The sequence below is a fragment of the Homo sapiens genome, chromosome 19, assembly GCF_000001405.40.
Source record: "Homo sapiens chromosome 19, GRCh38.p14 Primary Assembly".
Lineage (NCBI taxonomy): Eukaryota > Metazoa > Chordata > Mammalia > Primates > Hominidae > Homo > Homo sapiens.
The window spans coordinates 10367654-10388362 of NC_000019.10; the positions used below are offsets into that span (position 1 = coordinate 10367654).

Below are 20709 nucleotides of genomic sequence, written 5' to 3' on the forward strand. Positions count from 1 at the left end.
CTCACGCCTGTAATCCCAGCACTTTGGGAGGCCGAGGCGGGCAGATCACGAGGTCAGGAGATGGAGACCATCCTAGCTAACACTGTGAAACCCCGTCTCCACTAAAAATACAAAAAATTAGCTGGGCATGGTGGCGGGCGCCTGTAGTCCCAGCTACTTGGGAGGCTGAGGCAGGAAAATGACGGGAACCTGGGAGGCGGAGCTTGCAGTGAGCCGAGATCACATCACTGCACTTCAGCCTGGGCGACAGAGCAAGACTCCGTCTCAAAAAAAAAAAAAAGATCCCCAGATAGCATGAGTTGAAACCTATTAGCTATATTGAATCAGGGAGGGAAATGGGGGCTCCTCAACTGCCCCTAAGTCTCCCACAAATAGTCTTGCCACCCCAGCCCTGCTCATACCTGCTCAAAGAGGTACTCAAATGAGGCTGGGTCCAGGAGTTGCATCCCCTGTGCTGTCTGATCTGAGGATGCCTCGGTTCCTGGGGGCCCACAACGGTACACAGCCGGTTCCCGAGGATTCATGCCATGCCAGTTCCGGAAATAAAACCTGCAGGAAGGAGGGACGCAGCTGGGGCTTAGCACAGAGTCAGACCAGCTTCAGCACAGGAGGGGACGAGCTTTGCAAAGGTCTCCACCCACCTTATGCGGAAATATAGCATCAGGCTTGCATCTCTGGGGATCTCTAGGATGTGGTTTGGGGGCAACCAGACTTGGGCCTGAGCATCGAAGAGGGCAAAGAGATTGAAGCAAGGAGGAGTGATACCTGGATCAGGTGAGAAACGAGGTCAGGAGTCACGTCATTTGCTACCGTCAGCCCCAAAGACCCCCCAGACCCAATGTCTGCCTTCACACTCCCTCTGAGGCCCCCTCCCCCACCTGCAGCTTCAGTCTCACGTTGCCCCTGGGCAGAGGACAGTGCGTATGTTGCCCATGCTGTGGCCTCACAGGAGGACTACATTTCCCAGCCTCCCTTGCAGCTAGGATGGAGCCAATTGCACTGCTGGTTTCTGGCCAAAGGGCTGGGTACATTTCCAAGCCTGGAAATAAATTCTCTTGCCACCTTCACCACCCGAGGTATGATGAAGGCTTCTTGTGACAGATGGTGAAGCTGTAAGACAGAGGTGAACCATCCAACCTGTACTTGATTTTAAGTAAAACTTTTTTTTTTTTTTTGAGATGGAGTCTTGCTGTTGCCCAGGCTGGAGAGCAGTGACACGATCTTGGCTCGCTGCAACTTCCGCCTCCTGGGTTCAAGTGATTCTCCTGTCTCAGCCTCCTGAGTTGCTGGGATTACAGGTGTGCGCCACCAACCCCGGCTAGTTTTTGTATTTTTAGAAGAGACGAGGTTTCGCCATGTTGGCCAGGCTGGTCTCAAACTCCTGACCTCAGGTGATCTGCCCACCTTGGCCCCCCAAAGTGCTGAGATTACAGGCATGAGCCACTGTGCTCGGCCGATTTTAGGTAAACCTTGATTAAGATTTGGGGGGATTGCTTATTCCTGCAGCAAAACTAATCCTAGCCTGACCCACATAACTCTACAAACTGCTGCAATTGTCTGGCGTCTCCCTGAACTCCAGCCCCAAAGAAACATCCAGTCACCTCCTGGCTGTCTCCCCCTGGACATCACAGGCCCCCCCTTAGATATGGCTTGTTCCAAACAACATATCTTATCTGTGGTTGGCAAACTCCAACCTTCCCTTCCTCTGCCCTTTTTTTTTTAAGGGTCAGGGTCTTTCTTTGCCACCCAGGTTGCAGTGCAGTGGTGCAATCCTAGCTCACTGCAGCCTCAACCTCCAGGGCTCAAGCGATCCTCCCACCTCAATCTCTGGAGTTGATGGGATTATGGCTATGAGCCAGGGTGTGTGGCTTCTGCCCAGTTCTTCAAACCAGGAACTTGGTCCTTATCTTCAACCTCTCCCACCTGCTCCAAAACAGATCGGTCACCAAGACCTGCTCTTCCTGCACCCTCCATGTCCTGGGGCTCCATCCACCACCTTCAAATGCAAACCTCAACCCCAATCCAGTCTCCAGACTTGCTGTAATTTCCCACACCAGCTACCCAGGGTATCTTTCTTCTACTGATGTCATTTAAAAATTGTACCTGTCGGCCGGGCGCAGTGGCTCACGCCTATAATCCCAGCACTTTGGGAGGCTGAGGTGGGCAGACCACGAGGTCAGGAGATCAAGACCATCTTGGCTAACATGGTGAAACCCCGTCTCTACTAAAAAATACAAAAAATTAGCCAGGCATGGTGGCGGATGCCTGTAGTCCCAGCTACTTGGGAGGCTGAGGCAAGAGAATGGTGTGAATTCAGGAGGTGGAACTTGCAGTGAGCCGAGATTGCGCCACTGCACTCCAGCCTGGGCGACAGAGCGAGACTCTGTCTCAAACAACACAACAAAACAAAACAAAGAATCAGCCATGGCCAGGCTCGAGGGTGCACACTTGTAATCCCAACACTTTGGGAGTCTGAGGCAGGTGGATCACTTGAGGTCAGGAGTTCGAGACCAGCGTGGCCAGCATGGTGAAATCCCATCTCTATTAAAAAAAAAAATAGCTGGACCTGGTGGCATGTGCCTGTAATTCCAGCTACTTGGGAGGCTGAGGCAGGAGGACTGCTTGAACCCGGGAGGCGGAGGTTGCAGTGAGCCAAGATCGTGCCACTGAGCTCCAGCCTGGGCGGCAGAGTGAGATCTGAAAAAAAAAAATTGGCTGGCCATGGTGGGGTGCACCTTTAGTCCCAGCTACTCCGGAGGTTGACGCAGGACAATCGCTTGAACCCGGGAGGTGGAGGGTGCAGTGAGCCGAGATTGTGCCACTGCACTCCAGCCTGGCGACACAGCAAGACTGTCTCAAAAAAAAAAAAAAAAATGGTATCTGGCTGGGTGCAGTGGCCCATGCCTATAGTCCCAGCACTTTCGGAAGCTGAGGCAGGTGAAGCACTTGAGGGCAGGAGTTTGAGACCAGCCTGGCCACCAGAGCAAAACCTCGTCTCTACTAAAAATACAAAAATTAGCTGGGTGTGGGGGTGAGCACCTGTAATCGCAGCTACTCAGCAGGCTGAGGCAAGAGAATTGCTTGAACCTGGAGGCAGAGGTTGCAGTGAGCCGAGATCACGCCACTGCGCTCCAGCCTGGGTGAAAGAGTGAGGCTCTGTCTAAAAAAATAATAATAAAATGAAATAAATAATTTTATCTAAAGCTGGGTATGGTGGCTCACATCTGTAATCCCAGCACTTTGGGAGGCTAAGGCGGGAGAATCACTTGAACCTAGGAGTTCAAGACCAGCCTAAGCAACATAGTGAGACCCCTCATCTCTAAAAAAACTAAAAATAAAATAAATTAGCCAGGTGTGGCTGGAGTGCAGTGGTGTGATCATGGCTCACTGCACCCTCGACTTACTGGGCTAAAGCAATCCTCCTGCCTCAGCCTCCCAAGGAGCTGGGACTACAGGCGCACGCCACCATGCCCAGCTGATTTTTGTAGTTTTTGTAGAGAAGGGGTCTCACCATGTTGTCCAGGCTGGTCTCAAACTCCTAGGCTCAAGTGATCCTCCCACCTCAGCCTCCTGAGTAGCTGGGAGGCTGAGCTACTCAGCCTCCAAAGTGCTGGGATTACAGGCATAAGCCAGTGTGCTCTGCCCTGAAGTAGTGTTTATAATTTTCATATCCTCTACAATCTAGCCTTAAATGTTATGAACTGTGGCTGGGCACAGTGGCTCACGCCTGTAATCCCAGCACTTTGGGAGGCTGAGGGAGGCGGATCACCTGAGGTCGGGAGTTCGAGACCAGCCTGACCAAAATGGAGAAACCCCGTCTCTACTAAAAATACAAAATTAGCTGGGCGTGGTGGCGCATGCCTGTAATCCCAGCTACTCGGGAGGCTGAGGCAGGAGAATTGAACCTGGGAGGTGGAGGTTGCGGTGAGCTGAGATCGTGCTATTGCACTCCAACCTGGGCAACAGGAGCGAAACTCTGTCTCAAAAAAAAAAAAGTTATGAACTGTAAATGTGTGGTATTATACTGCAGACGTCCCTCTGCAATGTGCTTTTTCAGGCTACGAGAGGTTATAAAGCTTCATGCAGAATGACATGAGTAATTCTGGTTAAATTCCTTCTCCCGGCTGCGCAGTAGTCCAGTATTCAACCAGATTGCAATTTACTTAGGCAGTCTCTTATTGAGGGACTTTGCAATGGTCTCCCCTTTTCCATATGATAAACAAGGCGGCTCTAAACATTCTCATAAGTGTCCCTGGGAGCACATGAGCTGACTGTTTATAGAGTGACTGTCACTGTCCAGGAGTGGAACTATATGGCCTCAGGGAAGATGTTTCTGAGTTTTTGTTTTTTTTTTTGAGACGGAGTCTCGATCTGTCGCCCAGGCTGGAGTGTGGTGGCTCAATCTCCGCTCACTGCAAGCTCTGCCTCCTGGGTTCACGCCATTCTCCTGCCTCAGCCTCCCGAGTAGCTGGGACTACAGGCGCCCGCCACCATGCCCAGCTAATTTTTTTGTATTTTTTTAGTAGAGACGGGGTTTCACCGTGTTAGCCAGGACGGTCGCAATCTCCTGACCTCATGATTCGCCCACCTCAGCCTCCCAAAGTGCTGGGATTACAGGCGTGAGCCACGGCGCCCGGCCTGGGTTTTTTTTTTTTTTTGAAGCAGGATCTTGCTCTGACATATAGGCTGGAATACAGTGGTGCAATCATGGCTCAGTGCAGCCATGACCTCCCTGGCTCAAGCAGTCCTCCTGCCTCAGTCTCCTGAGTAGCTGGGAAATACAGGAACACGCCACCACACACAGCTATATATATATATATATATATATATATTTTTTTTTTTTTTTTTTTTTTTGAGACAGCATCTTGCTCTGTCACCTAGGCTGAAGGGCAGTGGCATGATCACTGTAGCTTCAACCTCCCGGGCTCAAGTGATCCTCCCACCTCAGCCTCCTGAGTAGCTGGGACTACAGGTGCACACCAGCACACAGCACACCTGGCTAATTTTTTGTATTTTTAGTAGAGACGGGGTTTCGCGATGTTGCCCAGGCTGATCTTGAACTCCTGGGCTCAAGTGATCCTCCACGCTTAGCCTCCAAAACTGCTGGGATTGCAGGCGTGAGCCACTGCATCCAGCTTTGACTGTGTTATCAAATCACTCTCCAAAGTCACACCATGGAATTATACTGCCCCTCTGTGAAGGGAGGATACCTCCCTGTGAAACAATATATATTTTTTTTAGATGGAGTCACCCAGACTGGAGTGCAATGTTGCAATCTTGGTTCACCGCAACTTCTGCCTTTCAGGTTCAAGTCATTCTCCTGTCTCAGCCTCCTGAGTAGCTGGGACTACAGGCATGTGCCACCATGCCCAGCTAATTTTTTGTATTTTTTTTTTTTTTGGATAGAGTTTTTGCTCTTGTTGCCCAGGCTGGAGTGCAGTGGCGTGATCTCGGCTCACTGTAACCTCCACCCCCTGGGTTCAAGCGATTCTCCTGCCTCAGCCTCCTGAGTAGCTGGGATTACAGGCGCCCGCCACCACGCCCGGCTAATTTTTTGTATTTTCAGTAGAGATGGGGTTTCATCATGTTGACCAGACTGGTCTCCAACTCCTGACCTCAAGTGATCCACCCGCCTTGGCCTCCCTAAGCGCAAGGATTACAAGTGTGAGCTACGGCACCTGGCCAATGTTTCATATTTTTGTTTTTTGAGACCGAGTCTCTGTCACCCAGGCTGGAGTGCAGTGGTGCGATCTCGGCTCACTGCAACTCCGCCTCCCAGGTTTAAGTGATTCTCCTGCCTCAGCCTCCCAAGTAGCTGGGATGTGCGTCACCACGCCCAGCTAATTTTTATATTTTTAGTAGAGACGGGGTTTCACCATGTTGGCCATGCTGGTCTCAAACTCCTAACCTCAAGTGATCTGCCCGCCTCAGCCTCCCAAAGTGCTGGGATTACAGGCGTGACCCACTGTGCCTGGCTTGAGACAACTTCTTAAAGAACCAGTCAAAAATAAAAAATAAAAATAAAAGAACTAGTCAGACTGCTTCACTCTCTGGCTTAAACCTTCCATGGCTCCCCATTGCTCCCGGAGAATGCCCAACCCCTTGACCCTTGATTCTGAGTACCCCCACCCTGGCTTTTGCCTGCTATGCCCCAATTTCAATTGTTACTTCCCCTTCCAAACTCTCAAAATTGATACCCCAGTCACCCTGAAGGTCTTTCGCTTCCTCAAACAGATCAAGCTCTCCGGGCCTCCATGCATGCTGTTCCCTCTGCTGAGCGTGTTTCACATCACCCGCACACCTGTCTGAATCCTTTAATAATCAGTCATGGGGGCGGGCACAGTGGCTCACACCTGTAATCCCAGCACTTTGGGAGGCTGAGGTGGGCGGATCACGAGGTCAGGAGATCGAGACCATCCTGGCTAGCACAGTGAAACCCTGTCTCTACTAAAAATACAAAAAATTAGCCAGGCGTGGTGGTGGGTGCCTATAGTCCCAGCTCCTCGGGAGGCTGAGGCAGGAGAATGGCGTGAACCCGGAAGGCGGAGCTTGCAGTGAGCTGAGATCGCGCCACTGCACTCCAGCCTGGGCGACAGAGCGAGACTCTGTCTCAAACAACACAACAAAACAAAACAAAGAATCAGCCATGGCCAGGCTCGAGGGTGCACACTTGTAATCCCAACACTTTGGGAGTCTGAGGCAGGTGGATCACTTGAGGTCAGGAGTTCGAGACCAGCCTGGCCAACATGGTGAAACCCCCGTCTCTACTGAAAATACAAAAATTAGCCAGGTGTGGTGGTGGGCGCCTGTAATCCCAGCTACTCAGGAGGCTGAGGCAGGAGAATCACTTGAACCCGGGAGGCGGAGGTTGCAGTGAGCCGAGATCACACCACTGCACTCCAGCCTGGGTGACAGAGCGAGACTCCGTCTCAAAAAAAAAAAAAAAAAAAAAAGCCGGGCACGGTGGCTCACACCTGTCATCCCAGCACTTTGAGAGGCCGAGGCAGGGGGAACAGCATGCATGTTCAAGACCAGCCTGACCAACATGGTGAAACCCCGTCTCTACTAAAAATACAAAAATTAGCTGGGCGTGGTGGCAGGCGCCTGTAATCCCAGCTACTCAGGAGGCTGAGGCAGGAGGATCGCTAGAACCCGGGAGGCGGAGGTTGCAGTGAGCCAAGATTGTGCCATTGCACTCCAGCTTTGAGGACTGAGCGAGACTTCGTTTCAAAAAAAAAAAAAAAATCAGTCATGGCCAGGCGCGATGGCTCATGCCTCCCAACACTTTGGGAAGCCAAGGCGGGTGGATGGCTTGAGCCCAGGAGTTTGAGACCAGCATGAGGCAACATGCAAAAAATACAAAAATTATCCGGGTGTGGTGACATGTGCCTGTAGCCCCAGCTATTTGGGAGACTGAGGCAGGAAAATCACTTGAGCCTGGGCAGTTAGAGGCTGCAATGCGTCATGATTGCACCACTGCATTTCAGCCTGGGCAAGAGAGAGACTGTCTCTACGAAAGAAAAAAAAAAAAAGACTCAGCCATCAATGGGGAAGTAGGAAGTGTTATAAAAATTGATTACAATGCCCCCATCCAGTCATGGAAAGCTGGGAATGGGGGAGGTAAGAGGAGTTTCTGGAGGAAGGTATATGTAACCAAAGCCGCCTTAGAAAGGCCTTTCCTTGGTTGGGCATGGTGGCTCACGCCTGTAATCCCAGCACTTTGGGAGGCTGAGGCAGGTGGATCACTTGAGGTCAGAAGTTCGAGACCAGCCTGGCCAACATGGCAAAACTCCAGCTCTACTAAAAATATAAAAACTAGCCGGGCGTGGGGTGTGCACCTGTAATTCCAGCTACTCAGGCGGCTGAGGCAGGAGAATGGCTTGAACCTGGGACATGGAGGTTGCAGTGAGCTGAGGTCACACCACTGCACTCCAGCCTGGGTGACAGAGTGAGACCCTATGTCATTAAAAAAAGAAAATTGGGCCGGGCATGGTGGCTCACACCTGTAATCCCAGCACTTTGGAGGGCCGAGGCGGGCAGATCACGAGGTCAGGAGATCAAGACCATCCTGGCTAACACGGTGAAACCCCACCTCTACTAAAAATACAAAAAAAAAAAAAAAATCTAGCCGGGCATGGTGGCACACACCTGTAGTCCCAGCTACTCGGGAGGCTGAGGCCGGAGAATCGCTTGAACCCGGGAGGCGGAGGTTGCAGTTAGCTGAGATTGCGCCATTGCACTTCAGCCTGGGACAGAGCGAGACTCCATCTCAAAAAAAAGAAAAAAAGAAAGACTGTAGTAGATATATTTGGAAGTGCAATTTCCTGTGCAGGAGGAGGGAAAGCCTTTCTTTCTTTTTTTTTTTTTTTTTTCTTTGAGATGGAGTTTCGCTCTTGTTGCCCAGGCTGGAGTACAATGGCACGATCTCAGCTCACTGCAGCCTCCACCTCCCAAGTTCAAGCAATTCTCCTGCCTCAGCCTCCTGAGTAGCTAGGATTGCAGGCACCTGCCACCATGCCTGGCTACATTTTGTATTTTTAGTAGAGATGCGGTTTCACTACATTGGCCAGGCTGGTCTTGAACTCCTGATCTCAGGTGATCTGCCCGCCTCAGCCTCTGAAAGTGTTGGGATTACAGGCATGAGCCACCGCACCTGGCCTTTTTTTATTTTTGAAACGGAGTCTAGCTCTGTCACCCAGCCTGGAGTGCAGTGCTGTGATCTCGGCTCACTGCAACCTCCATGTCCCAGGTTCAAGCTATTCTCCTGCCTCAGCCTTCTGAGTAGCTGGGATTGCAGGCACCTGCCACCATGCCTGGCTACATTTTGTATTTTTAGTAGAGATGCGGTTTCACTACATTGGCCAGGCTGGTCTTGAACTCCTGATCTCAGGTGATCTGCCCGCCTCAGCCTCTGAAAGTGTTGGGATTACAGGCATGAGCCACCGCACCTGGCCTTTTTTTATTTTTGAAACGGAGTCTAGCTCTGTCACCCAGCCTGGAGTGCAGTGCTGTGATCTCGGCTCACTGCAACCTCCATGTCCCAGGTTCAAGCTATTCTCCTGCCTCAGCCTCCTGAGTAGCTGGAATTACAGGTGCGCACCCCACGCCCGGCTAGTTTTTGTATTTTTAGTAGAGCTGGAGTTTTGCCATGTTGGCCAGGCTGCTCTCAAACTTCTGACCTCAAGTGATCCACCAGCCTCAGCCTCCCAAAGTGCTGGGATTACAGGCATGAGCCACCGCGCCCGGCCTGACTTTCTTTTTTTAATGACACTGGGTCTCACTCTGTCACCCAGGCTGGAGTGCAGTGACGAAACCATACCTCATTGCAGGCTTGAACTCCTGGGCTCAAGCGATCCTCTTGCCTCAGGCTCTCAAGTTGCTGGGACTACAGGCATGTACCACCATGCCTGGCTAATTTCTAAAAATTATTTTGTTGAGACAAGGTCTCCCTATGTTGCCCAGGCTGGTCTCCAACTACTGGCCTCAAGCAATCCTCCTGCCTGGGCCTCCTCAAGTACTGGGATTACAAGTGTCAGCTACTGCACCTGGCCAAGTTTTCTGATTTATTATATTTCTTGCTGTCCTCCCTACTAAAATTTCAGCTCTACAAAGGCAGTGATTTGCAGCTGCCACACAGTAGATGCTTACAAAATGTTCACCGAATGAACGGGTGGATGGATGGATGGATGGATGGATGGATGGATGGATGGATGGATGGATAGATGGATGAATAGGTGGGTGGGTGGGTGGATGGATGGATGGATGGATGGATGGATGGATGGATGGATAGATGGATGAATGGGTGGGAGGATGGATGGGTGGGTGGATGGATGGATGCATGGATAGGTGGGTGAGTGGGTGAGTGGGTGGGTGGATGGATGGATGGATGGATGGGTGGGTGGGTGGATGGATGGGTGGGTGGGTGGATGGATGGATGGATGAATGGATGGATGGGTGGATGGATGGGTGGATGGGTGGGTGGATGGATGGGTGGATGGATGAATGGGTGGGTATGGATGGATCGATGGGTGGATGGATGGATAGATGGATGAATGGGTGGGTGGATGGATGGGTGGATGGGTGGGTGGGTGGATAGGTGGGTGGATGGGTGGGTGAGTAGGTGGATGGATAGGTGGATAGGTGGGTGGATGGATGAGTGGGTGGGTGGATGTATGGATGGATGCGTGGGTGGATGGATGGGTGGGTGGGTGGGTGGATGGATGCGTGGGTGGATGGATGGGTGGGTGGGTGGGTGGATGAATGGGTGGATGGGTGGATGGGTGAAAGGGTGGGTGGATGGGTGAATGGGTGGGTGAATGGGTGGGTGGATGGGTGGATGGGAGGATGGATGGATGCATGGGTGGATGGATGGGTGGGTGGGTGGATGGATGGGTGGTTGGGAGGGTGGATGGGTGGGTGGATGGGTGGATGGATGGATGGATGGATGAGTGGGTGGATGGGTGGGTGGATGGGTGGGTGGGTGGATAGACGGATGGATGGGGCCCAGCTGCTGCTTGCACACCCACCCCAGTCCCCATGGTGCCAACGCCCCAGACTCACCAACTTTATGTGCAATGTGGATGCAGACTTCCTCAGCTGTCAGCGATGACTCACTGAAAGTGACCCAGGGCTCCCCGCCGCCTGGACCAGCCCAGTGCAGAAGCACCTTCAGGCCTCCCATGGCAGCCATGGGCTGGGCTCCATCCCCAACGGGCTTACTGCCCCTGGCCATCCCCCAGTGGCGCAGAGGCATGCTCCCGGCAGGTGGCTCAGCTGGAAAGGGGACAATCTGTCAGCTCCCAAGTCTCAGCCCAGAGACCCCTGTTAGCTCTTCAACCTTCCACCCACCCCAGCTAAGGCCTGAGGGGAAGATTCTGGGCTCCCATCTTGGCATGACATTAGAGACCCGATTCCCTCTCTGAGTCTCGTTTTCCACATTTATTGGACAGGGTTGGGGTATGCATCCCCACCTAGATCTCTCATCAACAATAACACTGAACCCTCCTCTCTTTCCACAAATTGACACAGATATAAAAATCTGCTCTGGCCAGGTACAGTGGCTCACGCCTCTAATCCCAGGACTTTGGGATGTTGAGGCAAGAGGATTGCTTGAGCCCAGGAGCTCGAGACCAGCCTAGGCCATATAGCAAGACCCTGTTTCTACAAGACGTTTTATTTTATATCTTATCTTATCTTATCTTATCTTATCTTATCTTATCTTATCTTATTTTTGAGACAGAGTTTCACTCTTGTTGCCCAGGCTGGAGTGCAATGGTACAATCTTGCTCACCACAACCTCTGCCTCCTGGGTTTAAGTGATTCTCCTGCCTCAGCCTCCTGAGTAGCTGGCGCCTGCCACCACACCGGGCTAATTTTTGTATTTTTAGTAGAGACAGGGTTTTGCCATGTTGGCCAGGCTGGTCTTGAACCTCTGACCTCAGGTGATCCACCCGCCTCGGCCTCCCAAAGTGCTGGGATTACAGGCGTGAGCCACTGTGCCCGGCCTCTACAAGAAATTTTTAAAATTTAGCCAGGCGTGGGGGTGCACATCTGTACTCCAAGCTACTCGGGAGGCTGAAGTGGGAGGATCTCCTGAGCCCAGGAGTTGGAGGCTGCAGTGAGCAGTGATCGCACCACTGCATTCCAGCCTGGGTGACAGAGTGAGACCCTGACTCTAAAAATATAAATAAATAAATAAATAAATAAGTAATAAAAATATATAAAAAGGGCCAGGCGCGGTGGCTCATGACTGTAATCCCAGCACTTTGGGAGGCCAAGGCGGACAGATCACGAGGTCTGGAGATTGAGACCATCTTGACCAACATGGTGAAACCCCATCTCTACTAAAATACAATAAATAAATAAATAAATAAATAAATAAATAAATAAAAAGTAAAATAAAAATCTGCTCTTAACACACCTCCCCAAAATAACCAGACAGGCAGATGTGGTCAAACATACCTGAGGGTGAGTCCTGGAGCTCCCTGTGTCAACTCAAGCAAGCCACTTAGCAATTCTGGGCCTCAGTTTCCCCATCTGGAAAAGGGAGGTCCTCAGGGTGTTGCCATCAAAAGATGGTTGTAATGTTTCAATATAGTTCCGCATATTACACATTCAGCACAGACCCTGATTCAGGCACACACAAAAAGAACAAATATGACCAAAACAAGAATAACATAATTGTTATTAGTTTCATCGTGGTGATGGCCTCTTTCAGGCCACAATTCTCCTCTCCCACATTTACCCCCATGAGTGACCTCAGTCCCTGTTGACTCCCCAAAGCCTAGGAGAGTTTATGTCCAGCTCCATCCCCCCAATCCAGGGCCTGAGCCTCCTGAGGGCGCCAGTATGGAAGTGGAGGGGCTGTCACTTCCACCCATGTTGCTGGTTTCCTCATCTGGAAAATGGGCATGTAACAGTGTCTACCTCAAAAGGCTGCTGGGAGGATTTAACGCGAGGAGGCAGAGAAAGTGCCTGGTATACAGTAAGCGCTTAATTAGCCTTTGCCATTAATACCTATTCATGTTATAGATGAGATCCCGGGGATGGGGCTTTCGCGGAGCCTACTTCCTCCTTCCTCCTTTCTCGTCCCCACTGGACCCAGACCCAGCTTTGAAGACAGGGTCGGAGTGAAGTTTGCAACTGGGAAGGCTGCACGCCCCCATGTCCTCCCCCCAAAACCTCTAAACCCGGCCGGCAACGGCGGGAACTGGGATGTGCACCCACCGGGCATCGGAGCAGTCCCGAGGCACCAGGTGCTCCCATCCAAGTGCAGCCTGTCAAGCGCAGCCAGTCCCCGCGGCTTCTTCCTGAGGACCTCCGGCCGCGCTCCTTCCGCGCCCGCGTCCAGACTCACCCTTCCGGGGGAACACAAGCTCGAACCCGGACCCCTCCCCGCTCCCGCGGGTAGCTACTGCTTGTCCCCCGCCGAGACGCCTCCTCCCATTGGCCGCCTGAAACGCACACGCCCATTGGCAGCTGCTCTGTTCTCCCTGCTCGTCACCATTGGATTTTTTTTTTTTTGCCATGGTGGCGGCACTCTCATTGGTCCTGGGGCTCATTCGTCACTCAGCCGCGATTGGCTGAGTCGGCACCCAGATGCGCTGTCGCTTCTGCTATTGGCTGGCACTCGGTGGACGGAGACGGGGGAGGGGCTTGCGAGAGGCGGGAGGGAGAGCGAAGTGTGTGGGCAACGCGGCCGGATCCTGGAGTTCCCCTCCGTGCTGTGGAATTGGGTCAGGCGTGTACGGTCCTGACCCTAGGACACAGCTGCATGTCCTCACCTCGGTGTTCAAAGCTGCACCGGCCACCATTCAACCCTCCGACGCCCTGCCCTTTGGCTTCCCCGTTCCATCCGGTCCTGTCTCCTTTCCCTCGTTTCTACCTGGCCGACTCCATCCTGCTGACTAGAATTCCCCCTCCTTCACTCCTGGGAGGCATTCCTCGCCCACCTGCCCCAGTCCTCTTCCTGATCACCTGCAGCCCTGTCCTCTGAAGCTCCCTAGCGGTCAGGGTAGCAGCTTGGACATCCCGCCAGACGTGAATTCAAATCCCCACTCCGCAAGTCGTGCCCATTTGCTGAGAAGCCTACAGCCAGAGCGTTTCACATACATTATCTCATTTGATCCTAGCAGCAATTCCCTGTATGGCGGCTCTTATTATCCCCATTTCACAGAGGAAGAAACTCAGGCATGAAGAGGTAACAAAGACCGTCCTCTGACCCTTCTTCTGTGCCACACCATAACCACTCCTCGACTTTGTCTTTCACCTGCCCAGCCAAGTCTTAGCAAAGAAGCCTATTAAGTCATCCGCTCATCCTTGATGTCTGATCAACTTCCTCATCTTCCACTTTTTTTTTTTTTTTTTTTTAAGATGGAGTTTCGCTCTTGTCGCCCAGGCTGGAGTGCAATGCTGCGATCTCGGCTCACTGCAACCTCAGACTCCCGGATTCAAGCGATTCTCCTGCCTCAGCCTCCTGGGTAGCTGGGACAACAGGCGCCCGCCACCACGCCCGGCTAATTTTTGTATTTTTAGTAGAGATGGGATTTCACCATCTTGGCCAGGCTGGTCTCGAACTCCTGACCTCGTGATCCACCCTCCCAAAGCGCTGGGATTACAGGCGTGAGCCACCGCACCCGGCCCTTTTGTTGTTAATTTTTAAATTTTGTGGCTAATTTTTAAATTTTTGTAGAGATGGGGTCTGGCTATGTTGCCCAGGCTGGTCTTGAACTTCTGGCCTCAAGCAATCATCCTGCCTTGGCTTTCCAAAGTGCTGGGATTACAGATGTGAGCTAAGACACCCAGCTCCATGGAGTTGGTCTTAACTGCCATGGCCAAGGGACATGTGGCTGCTTCTCTCTGAGTCAGAAAATATGGGTAAAAAGCCTCCTCACAGGGCAGCTGTGGACATTCAGTATGAAAATGCTGAAAGAGATCGGGAATGGTCTCTTTCACACCTGTAATCCCAGCACTTTGGGAGGTGGAGGCGGGCGGATCACCTGAGGTCAGGAGTTCAAGACCAGACTGGCCAACATGGTGAAACCCTGTCTCTACTAAAAATGCAAAAATTAGCTGGGCATGGTGGTGGGCACCTGTAATCCCAGCTATTCAGGAGGCTGAGGCAGGAGAATCGCTTGAACTTGGGAGGCAGAAGTTGCAGTGAGCCGAGATCACACCATTGCCCTTCAGCCTGGGCAACAAGAGCTAAACTCTGTCTCAAAAAAAAAAAAAGAAAAAGAAAAAGAAAGAAAATGCTGATAGAGGCCGGGCACAGTGGCTCACGCCTGTAATCCCAGCACTTTGGGAGGCCGAGGTGGGCGGATCATGAGGTCAGGAAATCGAGACCATCCTGGCTAAGGCGGTGAAACCCCGTCTCTACTAAAAATACAAACAATTAGCTGGGCGTAGTGGCAGCCTGAGGCAGGAGAATGGCGTGAACCGGGGAGGCGGAGCTTGCAGTGAGCCGAGATTGCGCCACTGCACTCCAGCCTGGGCGCCAGAGTGAGACTCTGTCTCAAAAATAAAATAAAATAAAATAAAATAAAATGCTGATAGAGACTTGTCCTGGCTGGATGCAGTGGCTCATCCCTATAAACCTAGCACTTCAGGGAGCTAAAGAAGGAGTACTGTCTGGGCCCAGTTCAAGACCAACCTGGGCAATATAGCAAGACCCCATCTCTACCCAAAATAAAAAAAATTAGTCTAAGGCTGAAGTATGAGAATCGCTTGAGCCCAGGAGGTGGAGGTTGCAGTGGGCTGAGATCCCACCACTGCACTCCAGCTTGGGCTACAGAGTGAGACTCCATCTCGGGGGGAAAAAAAATTAGTTAGTCCCAGCTACTCCGAAGGCTGAGGTGGGAGGATTGCTTGAGCCCAGGAGGTTGAGGCTACAGTGAGCCGTGATCACACCACTGCACTCCAGCCTGGGCAACTTGACCTCCTGGGCTCTGCTGTATTTTCTTCAGAGTCCTTATTGCAACCTGACATTTCATGGGAAGTTTCTTTCTTTTTTTTTTTTTTTAAAGAGACAGAGTCTTGCTCTGTTGCCCAGGCTGGAGTGCAGTGGCGCAATCTTGGCTCACTGCAACCTCTGCCTCTCAGGTTCAAGCAATTCTCCTGCGTCAGCATCCCCGGTAGCTGGGATTACAGGCGTGCACCACCACGCCTGGCTAATTTTTGTATTTTTAATAGAGACAGGGTTTGGCCAGGTTGGCCATACTGGTCTCGAGCTCCTGACCTCAGGTGATCCACCCGCCTTGGCCTCCCAAAGTGCTGGGATTACAGATGTGAGCCACCGCGCCCAGCTGGGTTTCTCTTCTTTCTTTCTTTCTTTTTTTTTTTTTTTTTTTTTTTTTTGAGACAAGAATCTCGCTCTGTTGCCCAGGCTGGAGTGCAGTGCTGTGATCTCAATTCACTGCAGTCTCAACTTCCCAGATTCACCATTCACAATCTTCCACCTCAGCCTCCTGAGTAGCTGGGACTACAGATGTGCATCACGATGCCTGGGTAACTTTTTTTTTTTTGAGGCGGAGTCTTGCTCTGTTGCTAGGCTGAAGTGCAGTGGCACGATCTCGGCTCACTGTAATCCCTGCCTCCCAGGTTCTAGCGATTCTTCTGCCTCAGCCTCCAGAGAAGCTGGGATTACAGGCGTGTGCCACCACACCCAGCTAATTTTTTTGTATTTTTTAGTAGAGATGGGGTTTCACCATGTTGGCCAGGATGGCCTCAATCTCCTGACCTCATGATCCTCACGCCTCGGCCTCCCAAAGTGCTGGGATTACAGAAGTGAGCCACCGCGCCCAGCCGCCTGGCTAACTTTTGTGTGTGTGTATTTTTTATAGAAATGGGCTTCCACCAACCCCGTCTCTACTAAAAATACAAAAATTAGCCGGGTGTGTTGGTGGGTGCCTATAATCCCAGCTACTTGGGAAGCTGAGGCAGGTGAATCACTTGAACCTGGGAGGCGGAGTTTGCAGTGAGCTGAGATCGCGCCACTGCACTCTAGCCTGGGCGACAGAGTGAGACTCTATCTCAAAAAAAAAAAAAGGAAAAGAAATGGGTTTTCACCATGTTGCCCAGGCTGGTCTCAAACTACTGGGCTCAAGTGGTCCTCCCGCCTTGACCTCCCAAACTGCTGGGATTACAGGCGCATGCCACCACACCCGGCTAATTTTTTAGTATTTTTTAGTAGGGACGAGGTTTCACCATGTGGGCCAGGATGGCCTTGATCTCCTGACCTCGTGATCCTCCCGCCTTGGCCTCCCAAAGTGCTGGGAATACCGGTGTGAGCCACCTCGCCTGGCCGGCTGGCTAACTTTTGTGTGTGTGTAATTTTTTTAGAAATGGGTTTTCACTATGTTGCCCAGGCTGGTCTCAAACTACTGGGCTCAAACTGCTGGGCTCAAGTGGACCTCTGGCCTTGACCTCCCAAACTGCTGGGATTACAGGCATGAGCCACCGTGCCCAGCCCCTGGGAAGTTTCTTTGAGCACAAGTTCTATTGCCTGTCTGCGGTTCTAGGACCGCACCAGAAAGAGGTCCGTCTGGTTGTCTGCTAAGCCCTCAGTGCCTGAGATTGTGCATCCAGCCCAGTAGGTGGCTTAAGAAGCCACAGCTGGAGGGGAATGAATGGCCTGGGAGCCAGGAATCCCTGGCTGTTGTCCTGCCTGCTGCGGGAGGGCTGGCTGTGAGCTTCCTCTCTGTCGCCGCTTAGAGTACAGTACCTAGAAGCCAAGAGTGCCAGATTTTTCTTTTTCCTTTTTTCTTTTATTGAGAGAGGGAGTTTCGCTCTTGTTGCCCAGGCTGGAGTGCAATGGCACAATCTCGGCTCACCACAACCTCTGCCTCCTGGGTTAAAGCGATTCTCCTGCCTCAGCCTCCCAAGTAGCTGGGATTACAGGCATGCGCCACCACGCCCGGCTACTTTTTTGTATTTTTAGTAGAGATGGGGTTTCTCCATGTTGGTCAGGCTGGTCTTGAACTGCCGACCTCAGGTGATCCACCCACCTCGGCCTCCCAAAGTGCTGGGTAATACTGGTGTGAGACACCGTGCCCGGCCTAGAGAGTGCCAGATTTTTCAACAGCCATTGGGGCAATGCTCCGTGATTAGATGCTAGAACACAGTGGGCCGAGTGGGCCTGGGACCCGGTATTCCCCGCTCCCAAAGGAACTAGAAGGAAATGCCACATGAGGCGATTAATAATAACAATGCTAGTCATACTCCCAGTAACGATATCAATTCTAACAATGAGCTGGTGCGGTGGCTGGCACCTGTAATCCCAGCACTTTGAGAGACAGAGGCAGGAGGATCGCTTGAACCCAGGAGTCCCAGACCAGCCTGGGCAACATAGTGAAACCTCGTGTCTACAAAAAAAATTTAAAAATTAGCTGGGCATGGTGATACACGCCTGTAGTCCCAGCTACTAGGGAGGCTGGGGTGGGAGGATCGCTTGAGTCCACAGGTTGAGGTTGCAGTGAGCTGTGATCGCACCACTGCACTCCAGCCTGGGCAACCGAGCAAGACCCTATCAAATAAATAAATAAATAAATAAATAAATAAATAAATAAATAAAGCTGACATTTTCCCAGCCTGCACACTGGGGCCGAGCGTGGGTATTTAGCCATCTCTGGGTCTTCTCAGTTTCTTTCTTTTTTTTTTTTTTTTGAGATGGAGTCTCACTCTGTTGCCCAGGCTGGAGTGCAGCGGCGTGATCTCGGCTCATTGCAAGCTCCACCTCCCAGGTTCATGCCATTCTCCTGCTTCAGCCTCCCGAGTAGCTGGGACTACAGGTGCCCGCCACCACACCCGGCTAATTTTTTGTATTTTTAGTAGAGACGGGGTTTCACCAGGGTTAGCCAGGATGGTCTCGATCTCCTGACCTCGTGATCCGCCCGCCTCGGCCTCCCACAGTGCTGGGATTCCAGGCACCAGCCACTGCACCTGGCCTCTTCTCAGTTTCTTTGCAAGTGGTATCAGCACCCCCACTTGACAATTGAAGAAAAGAGGCTAAGGAGGCTGTTTTGCCAAGGCCTGGCGCCTCCTGCCCAAACTCAGACCTGGTCCATAAGGGAGGCCCCAGACCCCACATGTGACTAACAGGAGGGGGTTTCCCAGGACTGAGGGGGTTCCCCAATGGGGGGCTTTCCATGCTAAAATTGGGACAGTCCTGGGCAGGCCAGGACAGTTGGCCACGCCACTACGGCGGGTTTCTCAGAAGGAACAAAAGCTGGGGGCTTCCCCTGGCTCTGCAAGGGCTGCAGGGAGGGGCCTCCTCAGAGCCCCCTGGGACCTGGGAAAAGCCAAGAGTTGATGGATTAAAAGTAAAATACCTTTGTGTTTTCATGAGTGAGAAAGTTCAGGGAACAGCCAGTCTCCTCCTCAAAACAACCATGAGATGGATTTCCTGGGAAATCTTTTTTTTTTGAGACAGAGTTTTTCCTCTTGTCGCCCAGGCTGGAGTACAATGGCACGATCTTGGCTCACTGCAACCTCTGCCTCCTGGGTTCAAGGGATTCTCCTGCCTCAGCCTCCCGAGTAGCTGGGATTAGAGGCGCCTGCCACCACGCCCAGCTAATTTTTGTATTTTTTGTAGACACGGGGTTTCACCATCTTGGCCAGGCTGGTCTCGAACTCCTGACCTCAGGTGATCCACCCGCCTTGGCCTCCCAAAGTGCTGGGATTACAGGCATGAGGCTACCGCACTCAGCCTCCTGGGAATCTTTCCACAAAAATTCTACGCTCCTTTGGGCACGTGTGTGAACCTGTGTTCTCTAGAAAATTCTCAGGAGCAGCCCCAAATGGGACACTCGGTGCTGGCCTGAGAGGATACAGAGGAGTAACTTACACACATGAAGGCTGGCACCAGACGGGCTGAGTTCAAGCCCCAGCTCCATCACTGTGTGATCCTGGGCGGCCCCTTAACCCCACTGTGCCTCAGTTTCCTCCTCTGCAAGATGTGACTATTTAGTCCCAAACCCAGAGGCATGTCAGGGACATCAAATGAGTTAATACACTTCATTAGCCAGGTGTGGTGGTGCATGCCTGTACAGGAGGCTGAGGCAGGAGAATCGCTTGAACCTGGGAGATGGAGGTTGCAGTGAGCCGAGATCGTGCCACTGCATTTAAGCTTGGGCAACAGAGCAAGACTCGGTCTCAAAAAAAAAATAAATAAAAGGACTGGTGGTGGATAGCCAGATGCAGTGTGTGTCTCTTGGCTGTAATTTGAGCTACTCAGGAGGTTGAGGCAGGAGAATCACTTGAGCCCAGAGGTTAGAGGCTGCAGTGAGCTATGATTGTGCCACTGCACTCCAGCCTGGGTGACAGAGCCAGATCCCATCTCTTAAAAAAAAAAAAGGGGGGGGCCACACATGGTGGCTCATGTGTGTAATCCCAGCACTTCGGAAGGCCAAGGCGGGCAGTCCTCTTGAGGTCAGGAGTTTGAGACCAACCTGGCCAACATAGTGAAACCCTGTGTCTACAAAAAATACAAAAATTAGGCCGGGTGCGGTAGCTCACGCCTGTAATCCCAGTACTTTGGGAGGCTGAGGCAGGTGGATCATGAGGTCAGGAAATCAAACCCATCCTGGCTAACACAGCGAAACCCCGTCTCTACTAAAAATACATAAAAATTAGCCGGGCGTGGTGCCAGACGCCTGTAGTCCCAGCTACTCAGGAGGCTGAGGCAGGAGAATGGCGTGAGCTCGGGAGGCAGAGCTTGCAGTGAGCTGAGATCAGGCCACTGCACTCCAGCCTGGGCGACAGAGCAAGACTCCATCTCACAAAAAAAAAAAAAAAAAAAAAAAAAAAGGGCCGGGCACAGTGGCTCACACCTGTAATCCCAGCACTTTGGGAGGCCGAGGAGGGCAGATCACGAGATCAGGAGATCGAGACCACGGTGAAACCCCGTGTCTACTAAAAATACAAAAAATTAGCCGGGTGTGGTGGCGGGCGCCTGTAGTCCCAGCTACTCGGGAGGCTGAGGCAGGAGAATGGCGTGAACCCCGGAGGTGGAGCTTGCAGTGAGCCGAGATCATGCCACTGCACTCCAGCCTGGGCGACAGAGTGAGACTCTGTCTCAAAAAAAAAAAAAAAAAAAAGCCAGGTGTGGTGGAGTGCGCCTGTAATCCCAGCTACTTGGGAGGCTGAGGAGGGAGAATCCCTTGAAACTGGGAGGCAGAGGTTGCAGTGAGCCCGAGATCATGCGACTGCACT

General features: G+C 52.0%; 1 protein-coding gene across 19 annotated transcripts in view, besides 5 other annotated features; it reads right to left on the reverse strand.

Annotated features, from left to right (window-relative positions):
• The window catches only part of TYK2 (tyrosine kinase 2), a 30040-nt gene extending 17121 nt beyond the window's left edge, over nucleotides 1–12919 (reverse strand). For 15 of the 19 annotated variants that reach the window (NM_001385205.1, NM_001385201.1, NM_001385206.1 and 12 more), the window contains exons 1-5: nucleotides 12727–12919; nucleotides 11962–12126; nucleotides 10561–10773; nucleotides 642–765; nucleotides 402–549 (exon numbers count right to left, since the gene is read on the reverse strand). In NM_001385205.1, coding sequence (NP_001372134.1) covers nucleotides 402–549; nucleotides 642–765; nucleotides 10561–10753 — 465 coding nt within the window. In that variant the 5' untranslated portion in view covers nucleotides 10754–10773; nucleotides 11962–12126; nucleotides 12727–12919. Of the gene's footprint in view, nucleotides 1–401; nucleotides 550–641; nucleotides 766–878; nucleotides 1111–2103; nucleotides 2126–10560; nucleotides 10774–11961; nucleotides 12127–12726 lie in introns of those variants that run through there. The other 4 variants (NM_001385199.1, NM_001406461.1, XM_011528246.4 and 1 more) reach the window with 3 other exon arrangements.
• Nucleotides 12817–12976: an enhancer, noted in NCBI's record as "active region_13961". NCBI's record gives its function as "activates an Ori minimal core promoter by ATAC-STARR-seq in GM12878 lymphoblastoid cells {active_cell/tissue: GM12878}" and the evidence as "EXISTENCE:reporter gene assay evidence [ECO:0000049][PMID:35858748]".
• Nucleotides 12817–13548: a biological region, named in NCBI's record as "H3K27ac hESC enhancer GRCh37_chr19:10491214-10491877".
• Nucleotides 12885–13548: an enhancer, noted in NCBI's record as "H3K27ac hESC enhancer chr19:10491214-10491877 (GRCh37/hg19 assembly coordinates)". NCBI's record gives its function as "activates a minimal SCP1, AML or CMV promoter by ChIP-STARR-seq in primed H9 embryonic stem cells {active_cell/tissue: H9 hESC(primed)}" and the evidence as "EXISTENCE:reporter gene assay evidence [ECO:0000049][PMID:30033119]".
• Nucleotides 18410–18799: an enhancer, noted in NCBI's record as "active region_13962". NCBI's record gives its function as "activates an Ori minimal core promoter by ATAC-STARR-seq in GM12878 lymphoblastoid cells {active_cell/tissue: GM12878}" and the evidence as "EXISTENCE:reporter gene assay evidence [ECO:0000049][PMID:35858748]".
• Nucleotides 18880–18939: an enhancer, noted in NCBI's record as "active region_13963". NCBI's record gives its function as "activates an Ori minimal core promoter by ATAC-STARR-seq in GM12878 lymphoblastoid cells {active_cell/tissue: GM12878}" and the evidence as "EXISTENCE:reporter gene assay evidence [ECO:0000049][PMID:35858748]".